General features: G+C 54.8%; 1 protein-coding gene across 1 annotated transcript in view, besides 4 other annotated features; it reads left to right on the top strand.

Annotated features, from left to right (window-relative positions):
• Positions 1-14,646, top strand: part of ATP6V0D1 (ATPase H+ transporting V0 subunit d1) — a 43,139-nt gene that overhangs the window by 12,566 nt on the left and 15,927 nt on the right. The window lies entirely within an intron of this gene.
• Positions 2,156-2,656: an enhancer, noted in NCBI's record as "H3K4me1 hESC enhancer chr16:67499839-67500339 (GRCh37/hg19 assembly coordinates)". NCBI's record gives its function as "activates a minimal SCP1, AML or CMV promoter by ChIP-STARR-seq in primed H9 embryonic stem cells {active_cell/tissue: H9 hESC(primed)}" and the evidence as "EXISTENCE:reporter gene assay evidence [ECO:0000049][PMID:30033119]".
• Positions 2,657-3,157: an enhancer, noted in NCBI's record as "H3K4me1 hESC enhancer chr16:67499338-67499838 (GRCh37/hg19 assembly coordinates)". NCBI's record gives its function as "activates a minimal SCP1, AML or CMV promoter by ChIP-STARR-seq in naive H9 embryonic stem cells {active_cell/tissue: H9 hESC(naive)}" and the evidence as "EXISTENCE:reporter gene assay evidence [ECO:0000049][PMID:30033119]".
• Positions 6,463-6,963: an enhancer, noted in NCBI's record as "H3K4me1 hESC enhancer chr16:67495532-67496032 (GRCh37/hg19 assembly coordinates)". NCBI's record gives its function as "activates a minimal SCP1, AML or CMV promoter by ChIP-STARR-seq in naive H9 embryonic stem cells {active_cell/tissue: H9 hESC(naive)}" and the evidence as "EXISTENCE:reporter gene assay evidence [ECO:0000049][PMID:30033119]".
• Positions 9,232-9,526: a silencer, noted in NCBI's record as "tiled region #10086; HepG2 Repressive DNase matched - State 5:Enh". NCBI's record gives its function as "represses a minimal TATA promoter and a strong SV40 promoter by Sharpr-MPRA in HepG2 cells {active_cell/tissue: HepG2}" and the evidence as "EXISTENCE:reporter gene assay evidence [ECO:0000049][PMID:27701403]".

Raw genomic sequence — 14,646 nt, 5'->3', positions numbered from 1 at the left:
TTTTGAGACTGGGTCTTGCTCTGTTGCCCAGGCTGGAGTACAGTGACCCAAACACAACTCACCGCAGCCTTGACCTCCCAGGCTCAAGCAATCCTCCCAACTCAGCCCCCCAAGTATGTAGGGCTACAGGCATGCACCACCGCACTTAGCTAATTTTTGTATGTTTTGTAGAGAAGGGGTTTTGCCATGTTTCCCAGGCTGGTCTTGAACTCCTGGGCTCAAGTGATCTTCTTGCCTTGGCCTCCCAAAGTACTGGGATTACATGCATGAGCCATCACGCTTAGCTCCTTTTCCTTTTTTAAGACAGGGTCTCACTCTGTCGCCCAGGTTGGATTGCAGTGGCATGATCATGACCCACTGCAGCCTCAACCTCCTGGGCTCAAGTGATCCTTCTACCTCACCTTTCCCAAGTAGCTGGGAGTACAGGCATGTGTTACCATGTCTGGCTAATTTTTTATTTTTTAGTGGAGACAGGGTCTCACTATGTTGCCCAGGCTCCCTGCTTTCTTAAGTGGCATACACTGAACATAGCAGAGTCTCTCCTGCATTAACGGCTGTTAGACTTGGAATGAGATGGAACAGAACCACTGTCCCTGAGGGCCCAGGTCTGCCTCCCATAGTTTTGTCCCTGGCCTTCTGTCAGGCCACCCATTCACTCTTCCTGCTGTGGTCAGGATGCCTGCTATAGCACCAGGGTCCCCTTCCCAACCTGTAGCTGCTCTTGGGCTTTGAGCTCAGTGATCAGACACACTGCAGCTTGTTAGGAGGATCTGCATCCAGAATGAACAGGTGCAAGGACATGATATGACTGTCTCTAAGTCATCTGCGCCTGCTCAGGGTCAGGACCCTAGTGCCCCTATGGGTTGCCAGAACCTTTCTTGAGTTCTTCTGTGTGGAGCCAGGCATCAGGCAGACCATGGCTCCCTTCCGGACAGCTGTGTGATGCAGAGATGTATTTGCCCACTTGTAAAATGAAACAGAAATCACTTACTCGTAGGTTGTAAGGATTCAACAGCGCAGTCCTAGCCAGAGTGGATGCTCAATAGATATTTGCCTGATTGGATGAGTGACAGCTCTTTTTTTTTTTTGAGACAGAGTCTCACTCTGTTGCCAGGCTGGAGTGCAGTGGCATGATCTTGGCTCACTGCAACCTCCGCCTCCTGGGTTCAAGCGATTCTCCTGCCTTAGCCTCCCAAGTAACTGGGATTACAGGCACCCGCCACCACGCCCGCCTAATTTTTGTCTTTTTAGTAGAGACGGGGTTTCACGATGTTGGCCAGGATGGTCTTGATCTCTTGACCTCGTGATCCGCCCACCTCGGTCTCCCAAAGTGCTGAGATTACAGGCATGAGCCACTGTGCCCAGCCATGACAGCTCTACTGGCACTGGCTGAGTACTAGGCTTTGGGGGTGTGGGGGAGGAAAAGCCAAGTCTCCCACCCCCCAACCCCAGGGATGCACCATATCATAGATTTCCCTGTTTCTGAGTTATTAAGCACTTGCTTTTATTAGACACATACTAGGCAGTAGAGACAAAAGGAGTTGAGACTTAGATAAAGGGAATTGGAGACTTGGGAGGGTCTGGCTGAGAGGGAGAGCAAGAGTGTAGAGGGCTGAGGATGCCCATGCTTCCCTCCACGTCCTCTTCAGCCTTGTCCCTCTGAAGGCTTTGTCTTCACTCATGCAAGACAGACCAGTTCCTTATGACCGACTCAGGTCTGTGTGGTCTCCGGTTTGGCTTTCCAGGCTTATATCCACCTATTGTTCTCTTTCTTTTCTTTTCTTTTCTTTTTTTTGAGACAGGGCCTCACTCTGTTGCCTGGGCTGGAGTGCAGTGGCTCCATCATGGCTCACTGTAGCCTTGACCACCTAGGCTGCAAACCATGCACCACGACGCCCAGCTGATTTTGTTTATTTTTGGTAGAGACAAGGTCTCATTATGTTGGCCAGTCTGGTCTCAAAACTTCTGGGCTCAAGTCATCTTTCAGCCTCGGCCTTCCAAAGTGCTGGGATTACAGGTGTGAGCCACCGTGCCCGGCCAACTTCTGTTCTTTTTTTTTTTTGAGACAGAGTTTTATTCTTGTTGCCCAGGCTGGAGTGCAATGGCACAATCTTGGCTCACCGCAACCTCCGCCTCCCGTGTTCAAGTGATTCTCCTGCCTCAGCCTCCTGAGTACTAGGATTACAGGCAAGCGCCACCATGCCTGGCTAATTTTGTGTGTGTGTGTGTGTGTGTGTGTGTGTGTGTGTGTGTGTGTGTGTGTGTATGTGTTTACTAGATACAGGGTTTCTCCATGTTGGTCAGGCTGGTCTCGAGCCCTCGACCGCAGGTGATCTGCCCATCTTGGCCTCCCAAAGTGCTGGGATTACAGGCGTGAGCCACCGCGCCTGGCCCAACTCCTGTTCTTTATGAGACATTCCTGCATAGCTCTGTGGGTACCTGTAGTCCCACTCCCTCAGAGGTTGATGACTGGGAGATGCTGACCAGGAGTCTGAGGCAGTGATTAAATTGGAGGGATGTGTTGAAGGGGAACTGGAGCTGGCGTACCCTCTTCCCACCAGAGGGGCCCCTCGCTGTGGACAATGCCATCCTCCCACCACAAGGGGGTGCGCCAGGATCACTCCACTTCTCAAGGAGCCTGGGGAGGGAGGTGTGGCTGGACCCCGTGAGTCATCCAGGCTCTCTCTCTGCTTTTCCGTGGGGCAGCTGCCACCAGCACTGTCCCTTGGGTCTCTGCTCTGGGCCCTACTTCCCTCACTTAAGTCTCAGTTGGCCTTCTCAGATGAGGTAGGGCTTGTCGCTTAGTGTCTCCTGTCTGTGTACCTCTACCCATCCTCACCTCCCTGTGCCCTATCTTCCTGGGTTGGGAAGGAGAAGGCCAGGGGACATTTCCTGATGCTCTTTGCCTTGGTGCCCAGTGCAGGCTGCTCCAGCCTTGCCCACCACACCGTCCTCATTTACCCTCACCTGGGTCATGCCAGCAGCTCAGAGTTGGAGCTGCAGGTACAGCACAGTGTGCTATGAACCCATGGGTCTTGGGAGCTCCAAGTAGGAGCTTGAGGCAGCCCAGGGATCAGGGCTACACTTCTCAGGCTCCTAGAACCATGCACCTCCCTAGGTAGTCACCACTCTTGTCTTGCCACCCTGGCCTCTCCAGGAGAGGGAAAATTTGTCTTCAGGACAGAGGATGAATTTTTCTCTCTCCTCAACCTCATTTGGCACTCCCTCTGAGGGGCATGTAGGATGTATGTGGCATGTATAGGTACATATATGCAGGGTGACTCCGGGAGATGGCCAAACCAGGCACCTGAACACCATGTAAGCACTGCAGGTCCACACGGTCAGGCTGGCGATGGGTTATCAGTTGATTGACAAGTCTCTCCTACCCTGTACCCCAGTTTGGAGGCCTCTCCATTGGGCTCCTTGGCGTCTGCCTCATCCAACACCTACTCCCTGGCTGATGTTTTAAAAAATCTATCCTGCACTAGAATGTTGGTCTTCCTCCTTTTCAGAGGCAGGAAAGTCAAGGCCCCGAAGGGTGCTTTAGTAGGCTAGGCTGCTGCTTTGTGGCCTGGGCACCTGCTCTGTGTGTCCAAACCTAGCAACTCCCCTGAAGGACCAAGGAGTAGGCACAAGGGGCAGTGCTGGGATTGCCCCTGTGTGAATGTGTGTGGTCCTGAGGACCGCTGGGCAGATTGGTGGCAGGGGAAAGGAATATGTGGAGGAGCAGCCCTGACTGGTGCTGGACACTGCTTTCCTGGCCAGCTCTTGCCTGGCCCTGGGCACTTGCCCAGACCTTGCCCCACTTTGGATGCTCAGGCAATGGTTTTCAGGCCTTGACCTCAACAGAGGCTTTCGTGCTTGGCTGGTGGATGGGGCTTTTCCCTCTGAGGAGTCATCTGAAACTCAGCTTTTACTGCCTGCCCTTGTCCCTGTGCTGGTGGCCACTCAGAGGCTCCACAGCCCCAGGGTCTCCCCTGCAGCTGTCATCAGTTCTTCTGAGGCTGTTCCATGGGTATCCAGGCCACTGGTCTCACTGGGAGCCCCTGAGTGGCCCTCAGGGGCTGGGTTGCAGGGAGTCAATGTGGTCTGGGCCTGACGAGGCTAGAACAGTGTCATAGCTGGACAGGCTCCTGGAGGTACCGTTATCCAGCTCTCTTCATCTGGGAAGCTGGGTCCAAGGTAAGGCCCAAGGGCGTAATTATGGTCTCCTGACACCTGTCTTGGCAGTTCCTGACCAATCACTCTATGTTCTTTGATTTTTTTCCCCCTTTATCTATTCTTCCATTTGTTCACTCAAGGATGCCTGGACTATATCTCTGTGAACTGGCCCCCAACTCAGGAACGGGTAGTCATGCAAAAAGGACCCTGTTTCTGGGGCCCTTGTCTTTTCCTCAGGCCTTGCCACATGGGATCTAGCTTGAAACTTGAAGGGTTGGGAGCTGATGAATACAGATGAGCTGCAGTCCATGATGTAGCACACAAGGCCCTGAGGCTGCCAGGTCATGGGTTCAGCTCTGCCTGTTTTCCCATGCCCCCAACCCTTTAACCTTCAAACTAGATACCATATCACAAGGCCTGGGAGAGCACAGGGTCCTGGAATGTCACCCTTCGGTATCTGCCCAGGCTCCATGCCTCCCACCTCCCCCAGTGGCTTCAGTCATTTGGACCTAGCTTCCACTGTGTGGTCAAGCAGGTGACCACGTCCCTCCCAGGGGCCAGCCCAGGTCCACAGCACTGGCTCACTCTGGCATGTTACTGTTGCCCCCGCACCTGTCCCACAAGGCCCTTGAGCAGGGCCGCTGAGGGGAGGGCTGAAAGGCAGGGTGGGTGGGGTCCTGGGGGTGCTGTACTGGACCAGCTTGTATAGTTACTGCTTCTGCCATCTTCTTGCCTGGACCAAGCCTCTTGGCTCTGCCAGCGAAAGGTATGGGATGGATTAACTCTACCTCTGGCCTGGGCTGCTCTGTCCAGTTTCTTTTTTCTTCTTTTTTCTTTTTCTTTCTTTTTTTTTTTCCCCTTCTTCCTCCCTCCCTCCCTCTTTCTTTTTTCTTTCTTTGTTTCTTTCATGAAAGAGTCTCATTCTGTCACCTAGGCTGGAGGACAGTGGCATGAACACTGCAGTCTTGACCTCCTGGGCTCAAGTGATCCTCTCACCTTAGCCTTTCGAGTAGTTGGGACCACAGGCACATGCTGCCACATCTGGCTAATCTTTGTATTTTTTGTAGAGACAGAGTCTCTCTGTGTTGCTCAGGCTGGTCTTGAGCTTCTGGGCTCAAGTGATCCTCCCACCTCAGCCTCTCAAAGTGCTGGGATTACAGGCATGAGCCACCACGCCCAGCCTCTGTCCAGTTTTTATGAGCCGCAGGGAATGGGACTTTATGCTGACAGTGCATGAGCTCACAGCCCCAGATGAGGTTTGATCCCACGAGCCCAAACACAGGGCCTAGGTCAAAGCAAAATGAGTATTTCCTACTTTTCTCCTTTGGGCTGGCTCTAGGCACCGTGGAACTGGCAGGATGCTCCTGCCAGGATCCAGCCTGACCTGCTTATTCTCACTGAGAACAGCCACCTCTAGGGAGCCCTAGAAATCCCCTCCACCTCCAACTGAGTGAGCCCCAACTTTCCTTCGTGTCCTTCTGAAGATGGCTGTGCGTGTGGAACAGGAGCCCAGCATCAAGAGCTGACAGGATTGCTCAGGTGGTGCAGGCCAGCAGACCCAGAAGCTAGACATGGGCATGGGCCAGGTTTTTTTTTTTTTTTTGAGACAGAGTCTCCCTCTGTCTCACAGGCTGGAGTGCAGTGGCATGATCTTGGCTCACTGCAGTCTCAACCTCCCAGACTCAAGCCATCCTCCCACCTTAGCCTCCCAGGTAGCTGAGACTACAGGCATGTACCACTGCGCTGGGCTCATTTTGTTTTATTTTTTGTGGAGACTAGGTCTCACTATGTTGCCCAGGCTGGTCTCAAACTCCCTGGGGTCAAGTGATTCCCTCACCTTGGTCTCCCAAAACGCTGGGATTATAGGTGTGAGCCACTGTGCCCAGCCTCGGCCAGCTTTTGAGCACAGCACATTGCCATAACTGGCCTTCCTTGGGCTACCTGGCATCTGGCCAGGCCAGACCACTTTACCTCTTACTCATGCCCAGGCAAACTCACATCTTTGGGAAAATGAAAAGAAGCTCTTCTTCACAGTTCCAGATCCACCCCAACCTGCCGGTTCTATAACCGTGGTGGCAAACCTGGAGAAGAAATAGCTTGCTTCGGTCAAAGTGCAGGGCATCAACAGAGGAGGGTGTGGCCCCCACCTCCCAGGGTGAGGCTGGGTTGTCTGATTCTCAGGCTGGGCTGTGGCCAGGGAACATAGGAAAGCTGCCCTGCAAGCCCTGTGTCTCCTGGGACATGCCAGTCCCATGGAGCCTTCAGGCCTGGGTGGGGACGGCCTGGTGACGGGCTGTCCAGGCGGATCTCCACTCAGTCAGAGGAGAGCTTCTTGGAACTTGCCCTGGGTGCAGCAGTAACCAGTTCTGCCCCTCCCTTTGGCACATGGGACTGTCGCCTGCCTGGCACCCTCCTGACTGTCAAACGAGTTGACTTCCTCCTAGGATGTGAGAAATGCTTTCATCCTCCCAGCCTCAGGGACAAGGTGTTCCTGAGAGTATGAGGGTAATTAAATGTGTCTCTGCCACCACCTACCACCTGTCCCAGAGCAGGGAGTGGGGTGATGAACCCAGGGCAGACATCCTTTTGCTTCCTGGACTTGGGAGGTGACTCTCCCATTTGATCCCTGTGTCTGATGTTGCTGATGGTCGGTGCCGCTGGCCCCTGGTGTCAGCTGGACCATCTCTGCAGATTGGCCCCATTCCCCTACTGTGAGTGCCTCACCTCACTGAAAAACCTCTAGCATGAAACAAAATGTAGGTCCAGGGACCGAGGAAGGAGAACTTACTGTCTTTTCCCTGCAGGAGCTCTGCCTTAGCCACCTGAAACCTAGTAACTTGCATGTGACCGTGCCAGCAGGAGACTCCAGGTTCTTCCCAAGACTACTGGCCTGCCAGCCCAGAGGTTTCCCATGAAGCAAGAGCTGTCCTTGGCTATACTACCTCCTACCTGCTCCTGAGACCCTCAGGGCAACTCAGGGTGTGGTGGGTGGTGCAGAGTTCTGTCCTTGCCTCTCTCTATCCAGGTTGCTGGGGCTGCTCAGAGCTCTCTATGATCTTGCTGATAGGTGAGATGTAGGTTTGGGGACAGAAGCCCCGGCTCTTGAGCCAGCCCTGTTTCTCTTTCCCCAGGAGATAGCAGAGTGTTAGCATGCTCATGCTGCACAAGGTCCCCTGCAGGCTTTATGACAGGGAGGACAGCATGCTAGAGGCCTGGGAAAGGGTTGGGACAGACCATGGAGAGGAGGAACAGGTACCTTCTGTACAGGACTTAGTAGGACAGCCTAAGCAACAGCCTGGAGTCAAGGCTACACACTGCTGGGCTCATGGTGTCTGCCAGGAGAAATGGACTGTGGTATGCTGTGCTCAGCTCTCTGTAAACCGCTGCCTTTGCTCAGTGTCTGTGCAGTGCCCTGGGAGGCTGGCACTGCAGAACCTGTTACCTGGTGACTGGCCAGGGGCCTGGTTCCAGAGAGATTCCACAAGTGTTTTAGGGCCAATTTGTAGACAGGATTTGAACCCAGGTCCTTGTGGCTCTGAAGCCCAGATTCTTTCTCCCCTGTCCCACTCAGCTGCCTAAGGAATAATGTCTTGAAGCCAGTGATCTGGCAAAATGGATCTGCAGAGGGGGCTGGGGCTGTGGGATGGATCAGCTGATGGGTGATGGGTGGGCCTGCACTGGCCAGGGAAAGGTGCCATGGATACCCCAGTTGAGGGTGATAGTGCCAAGGTTCCGGATGGGGAATGGCAGATGGCATGGGGGGAGGGGGGAAAGCTGGCATTTGATAGGAAGTGTTGGAACTTGGGGTTACTCAGTCAATTGGTGTTACGTGAGGTTTGCAGAGAGCCTGCGAAGGGCCCTGGCAGAGGCCTGGGGGCTGAAGAGGACACTCATACTGTGCTGCAGGCCCCAGGTAAACCCAGGGTTAATGGTTTCTATGCTGTGGCTCCCACACTGAGAGTTCCAGATGTGGTGCTCTGACCCTGCAGATCCAGCCAGCCAGTGCACACATCTGCTTTGGAGCTGATATGAAAAAAAAGGTCTCCTCCCACTCCTGAGCCTAGGGAGGAGGTCAGGCGCAGCACATTCACCGAGGAGGGGCAGGGCAGCTCTCGCTTTGTTGGGCCACCAGCCTGGCCATCTGTCCACATTGGTCCATCTGTCTGAGTTTTCCTACTTTGAGCCAGTAGAAGTTGTAGCATTGGAGGTAGAGCCCAGGTCCAGTCCCTTCGAAGCCGACTTCTCAGCCAGGCCCAGGGGAGTGGTAGAACAGGCTCCAAGACTCTGCCACCCTTGCAGAGAATGGCATTGTGGGCACACCAGAGTCTAGGGAGCATGTTCTCACATCTGGTTCCATTCAGTGGGCCTCAATTCCTGAAAACCCCTGAGCTCCCCAGGAGAGCCTCACTGAGTGACCTCTGGAAAAGCAGAAGTAAAGTCTGGGAACACTCTGTCCTCTCACACTGTGCTGTGGCCAGCTGGCCAGCAAGACCCCTCCATGGGCCGGCCATGAGGCCATGGGGGAGCCTCAAGCGGGTCTGCCCCGCCCAGTATGCTGGCCAGGGGCTGCCTCCATGCCTACTGGGCCCTGGGGCATGTGGGACCAACCCCCTGGCACGGGCCAGGACCCTCCTTTCTGCCTCCCTATGGCCCTTGGGGAGGAACTGCAGAGGCCTGGGGGCTGAAAAAGCCGTGTGCCATCTGAGCCTGGGAGCCCTGGAGAGGCTGAAAGATCCCCTTCTGGGTTGGCAGGATCTGGGAAAAGTTTCAGGAAGTGGGCGGGGGCAGGGCTGCCCAGCTGCCACCTCTCAAGGCCTGTCTGGGGTTAGCTGCCAAGCCCATACTTTGTCACACAGAGAGCAGAAAGCACTGGGCAGGCTGAGTGTCCCATGCCCTCCTATTAATCAAGGGCTAGGGTGATAGGGGTGCCAGCTGGGGCTCAGTGTGGCCAGCCTGAGTCTGGTGCAGCCTGGCGACCCCTGAGAGGGGCAGCCATGCCAGGTGGGTCTTGGGCTGCAGCCTTCCCAGGCCTCTTCAAAGACCTCAGCTGCCCCTGCTGGAGCCAGGGCAATGGTCCTTGACACAGGCAACCTCAGGGTGGACAGGGCCGGCCTGTGGAGGTGGGAGGGCAGGGACTCTCACTTTCCAGGCTGGGGGTGTGTCTTCCCAACCCAGCCTCTCTATGGGCCTGAGAAAGCAGCACTATTTCCTGCACTTCAAGGGCTTCTCTCTCCGGCAGCCTGTGGACTTCCCTGGAGCACTTGCTGGAGCAGAGATCACAGGAAGGTCACTCTGGCCAGCAAGTAGCACTGTTAGACCAGTCAAGGGCTGAGGTAATGCTAGGGCTGAGGGCACGGGGCCTCACAGGCTGTGGGGGAGAGGCAGAACTCCAGCTTCAGGGCTACATGGACTGCTGGGTGAAGGTGACAGCGAACCATTCAATTTGGAGGACTTCATTCTGGTGATGGTATGGAGAGTGGTCTTGGGAGTAGGGAGCCAAGATGTGGGGCAGAAGGCCTGGGTAGTGCCAGGAGATGGAGCTGGGGGGAGAGTCATCTGAACATGGGGACAAGAATGTGGGAAGCAGAGGAGTTGTGGGAAGGTCCTGGGGTGCAGACTGAGGAGCAAGCCTAGGCCTGAGGGAAGGCTGGAGATACCGGGAGACCAAGTTGGTCTGCTGCTTCTGAGTTGGGGTTCAGGTCAGACAGCAGAGAGAACTTCCTGAGAGCAGCAGCATCTTTTGAACATGAGAAATCAGCCTTCAAGGAAGTCTTTTACTGTGAGAGATCCCAAGCTGGCCAGACATTCCTGTTGTTGGGCCATGGATGGGAGGATTTGGGGTAGACAGCTGGGCTTGTGGGTAGACCAGAGCGGTCCCCCGAGTCTGTGCTAGCCAGAACACTGCTTGCTCATGCCTTGGCTGGGCACGTCTGGGCCTCTCAGTGGCCATCACTGAGGCTGTCAGGCTGCTGAGCCCAAGGCCCAGAGCAGAACTAGCCCCTGGCTTCCCAGAGCCCCTGCCGTCCTTGGCTGCCCTCAGAGGCTGGGCCAGGGCTGGGTGGCCAGGTCTCCCACAAAGCTCTCAACAAGTTCCAGGCCTCTCCTTCTGTGCTTAGATCCTGCTCCCAGTCACGTCCCCTCCCAGTCACATCCCCTCCTCCGCATCCCTCAGAGAGAGCAGGAAGCTGGGGAGGAGGGAGCATCCCAACCAGCCTTGTCCTAGGCCTGACCAGTACTGTCTTAGGGCTTGGGGCTGCCAGCCACTGGGTCTGGGAGCCAGGTTTCTCCAACAGGGCCAGAGCTGGTTTAGAAGCCCTGTGTGGTCTCCTCATGGGTGAGCTGAGGGTTCAGCAGGCCTCCTTCTCTAAGTCGCCTTCTTGGCTGGCAGGCTGTCCCCCTTCCCTGGGTCACAGGGAGATGTGGGGTTTGGCCAGGGAAAGTGGTCTGGAACGGCCCTTTGACATCGTCCCTGGGGGCTTTTAAAAAATAAGTTTCCTGGTAAGGAAGACTCCTCAGGCCTTGGGCAGGATTCTCAGTAGAGTCTCCCGGGTTTGCTCTGATCTGACAAATGCCAGCAGAAACCACCCAGCCGCCTGCGTTCCAGCAGTGCTTGGAGCCGTGGCTTCCCCAGATGCAGTGTCAGCAGAATGCAGCAGCCAAGGCACAGGGGTGTTTGCTTGGAGGCCCTTGCTGAGCCCAGGAGTGGGGGGCCTGCAGAAGAGAGCCCTCTGCTTGGCTTTGCCCCCTCATTCACGTGCACACATTCCTGGCTTCTCTAGGAATGGATGGTGCCACAAGGGATGCCAGAGGGACTTGTCCCTGAGTGATGACAGTCCAGTGACAGTGCTGATGGTCCATGCCTGTCAGGTGAGCAGTGAGTGTTCAGGCTGCCTCCGAGGAGGGGAAGAAGGCATGCCCTGGCTTCTCCCACCCCTCTGCCACCACCTGCCAGCTCATCTGGGACTGAAATCTGTCTGGACAGCTGAGTCTGTATCTGAAAAGCCTGTCCTGGGTCAAGGGCTGGGGAATAGAGCGGTAAAGGAGGTGCAGAGTGGGGAGGAGAGGAGGAAACTAGATCTGGGGACAGATAGAATCCCCCAGGCCTGCTCCACATCCCAGCCCCTCTATGCCCCAACTCTGGGACTCTGGACAGGTTTCATGTTCTGTCTGATTTCTGTTCCTGAGGCTGAGATGGGCATGGTTGAGAGGTCCAGCACACAGGTTGCTCCTGGCATGGGGATGAGTACACCGTACAGCCCATGTGTTTCCAGTTAGAGTAGATCTGGGTTGCCCGCTTCATGTTGGGATGAGGGGACTCCCCCCTGGCCAGTCCCAGGTGTTGGATAGAGAGTCATGGAGGCCTAGGGAGGGGAAAGGTGCTTGGCAGTGGGGAAGTTGCTGAGCTAGGGAGAGAAGCCATGTGGAGCAAAGTGGGAGGCTGGAGCAGAGGAAGTTTCATGCTGCTTGAGAGCTCATGAGGATCCTGAGTAGGAGGTGACAGCTCACTCGGGGAAGCCTCCCAGCAGCTTGTGCCAGGGCCTGGAAGAGCAGTGTGTACACAGATGCCCGGGTGAGGCCCAGCCCCTGATGCTTTGGAGGGGAGGGATCAGGAGGCCAGACCGGGGTCCAGACTCCCAGTCCCAGGGAATAGTGGAGTCACTGGCAGGAGTGCCACCACCCAAAGGACTGAGTTTTTCTCTGGAGCTCACCCTGTACATCTGGCCCGGCCTCTAGGCCCAGGCTATAGCTGAAAAGGAAGAAGTCTCCTGGCCTGAGAAGGGCTCTTGGCTGGCTGCAGTGGCTGTGTGAATAAGCAGACAGGTTTGGTCTGGCAGCTGCCGCACCAGTGCCTGGGTCTGACCCAGAGAACTGTATTCCAGTCTTGGCTCCCAGCTGCCATCCGCTCTGCAGCTTCCCCTAGTGGAGATTTCAGCACTTGCTGGGCCTGGGCCAGAACCCCAAGTATATAAAATCAGAGCATGAACATGACTTTGATAAATTAAGAAGGCTTCATTTTAATACCACAGTAAGAGGAACCAGTTAATATTCTTACCATTTCACATCCACAAAAACCACATCAGGGGCATTAACAATCTCTCAGTTTTGTACAAATAAACCATGTTTCTCTTAAAAAGACTTGCACACGTGGTTCACGCCTGTAATCGCAGCACTTTGGGAGGCTGAGGCAGGTGGAGGCTGAGGTCAGGAGTTCGAGACCAGCCTGGCCAACATAGTGAAACCCCGTCTCTACTAAAAATAAAAAAAAATTAGCCAGGCATGGTGGCATGCACCTTTAGTCCCAGCTACTCGGGAGGCTGAGGCAGGAGAATCGTTTAAACCCGGGAGGCAGAGGTTGCAGTGAGCCGAGATTGTGCCACTGCACTCCAGCCTGGGCAACAGAGCAAGATTCCATCTCAGAAAAAAAAAAAAAAAAGGCTTGCATACTTGCCCAAGCTCAAGGATATTAAAATCTAGCACATGAAACCCATTTCTAGAGGTAGAAATACAGGCAATATATTATTTCAGCAATGACCATCAATTACAGTTAAGAACAGTTAACAACCAAATGGGTAATGAAATAATGCAACCACCCAAGTTTACTGAGCAAAGCATCTTTTCTCACCCATGCCTTACTCTAGGAGTAGCTGGGGCTTGGTTAGATGTGGTGAGGATGTGGGAGAAGAGATCTCAGGGCAAGGGTTCATTGCAGACGGCCTGGGGTAAGGATGTAGGAGAGTGCACATTTCCCAGGCAAAAAGGCATTGGGGTCCACAGAGCAGAACAGGGGCTGGTGGCTTCTGCCTGCCCTGCCTGACTTTCTCTTCTATGCCCTTTTGGGTGGCCATGGGAGAAAAGTAGTGGTCAATTGCAGAGTAATGGTGAAGGCAGCAGGTGTCTCCTGCAGGCCTCAGGAGGTTGAAGTTCACTCCATGAGTGCCCAGGAGCCACAGAGGTCATGAGTGTGGCCTGCTACCAGCCCCCCAGAGATGCAGGTGGAAGGCATCTATTCCAGAGACCTGCTGTATTCCAACATGCTGTGTTCCATCTCTCCTTTAGCTCGCCTGACTCCAGGTTGGGGCTGTCTTCTCCTGATGGAGTACAGCAGGAGGGGCATCACAGGGGTCCCCTAAGCTTGTAGAGGGTTTATGTGCCCCACTTCCCTTCTTCTCTAAACAACCCAGGCTAGCATGGTCTCCTGAGCCTCAAAGACATCTGGGGAGGCCGTGGCCAGGACAGCGTGTGGAGGTGGTCCCAAGTGCAGCTCCGCCTTTGATCCCCTGGGCAGCCTCCCCAGGGGACAGAGAGGCATGTAGTCTTCCAAGCCAGCCTCCGCCACCATGTGCCTGGGTATCTTCTCAGCCACTGTCCTTGGTACTGTCCCCAGGGAGCTTCTGTGTCCTGTATCAGGTGGGATAAGTACTGCTAAGAAGAATAACACAAGGGACAGTGATGGGCTGCTGGAGAAGCCTCTGAAGAGGGGGCGTGTGAGGAAAGATCTGAAGGAAGAGGGGGAGACAGCTCCACTTTCAGGCCAGGGGACGGGGAAGGGCCCTGAGGTGGGGACATGGCTGGGGATAGTGAGCATGGGGGAATGGCAGGACCTAAGTCAGAGAGGTTAAGCGGGGATGGTGGGACCACCACATGAGGGCTCTGGAAGGGACTCTTTCTGAGTAAAGTAGGAGTAGCGGAGAGTTTAAGGCCAATGAATGGCATGGTCTGCCTTGTGTTTTAAAAAGATCACTCTGGCTGGCACATGCCTGTAGTCCCAGCCACTTGGGAGGCTGAGGCCAGAGGATCACTTGAGACTAGGAGTTCAAGTTCAGCCTGGGAACCTAGCAAGATGCCATCTCTAAAAAAAAAAACAAACAAACAAAAAACAAAAACAAAAACAAAACACTCTGGGAGACTGTTGTTAGGTTCTCATCAGGATCCCACTGCCTCTCCCTTGGCCTGCTTCCCCCGGGCCCTTCTGCTCTGCCTCTCCTTCCTTTTCCCTTACCCCATCTCTGAATGCTCAAGAGAACCCTCAGGATTGGTCTGCCTGTCTCCGGCCACTCTGAAGGGACGCTCAGTCTTTCCTGCCAGCCTCACCTCCCCCGCATGCCACTCATTTGCCCTGCAGGCCACTTGTCACTCACACCATCCTCCTGGCTGTTTCCTTTGTACTTTCTTGCCCCTGCCCTTTGCTGTGGCCCAGCCTTTTGTGGCCTTCTCATCTTCTCAGTCTGATCTTTGGTGCCCTCTCCACTCCACTCCCACAGCTTCAGGCATCTCTTGTATTTCATGTGCCTCGGGGTGTGTTGGCTTGCCCCTCTGACCCTGAGGCCCTGGAGTGCAGGGCTCATGACTTACCCTGCTCTAGATTAGGGCCAGCCTACAGCTTAACATACAGAAGGGCTTCAAAGGCTGTGGGTTGTGGATTGGACCTTGGAATTTCCCAGGCTTTCTTGTCATCTTGGGGAGGAACTGTTCCTCTTATGCTCG

This window comes from Homo sapiens, chromosome 16 (genome assembly GCF_000001405.40).
Source record: "Homo sapiens chromosome 16, GRCh38.p14 Primary Assembly".
Lineage (NCBI taxonomy): Eukaryota > Metazoa > Chordata > Mammalia > Primates > Hominidae > Homo > Homo sapiens.
The sequence above is the reverse complement of the archived record's forward strand: the minus strand, read 5'-3'. Positions and strand labels throughout refer to the sequence as shown.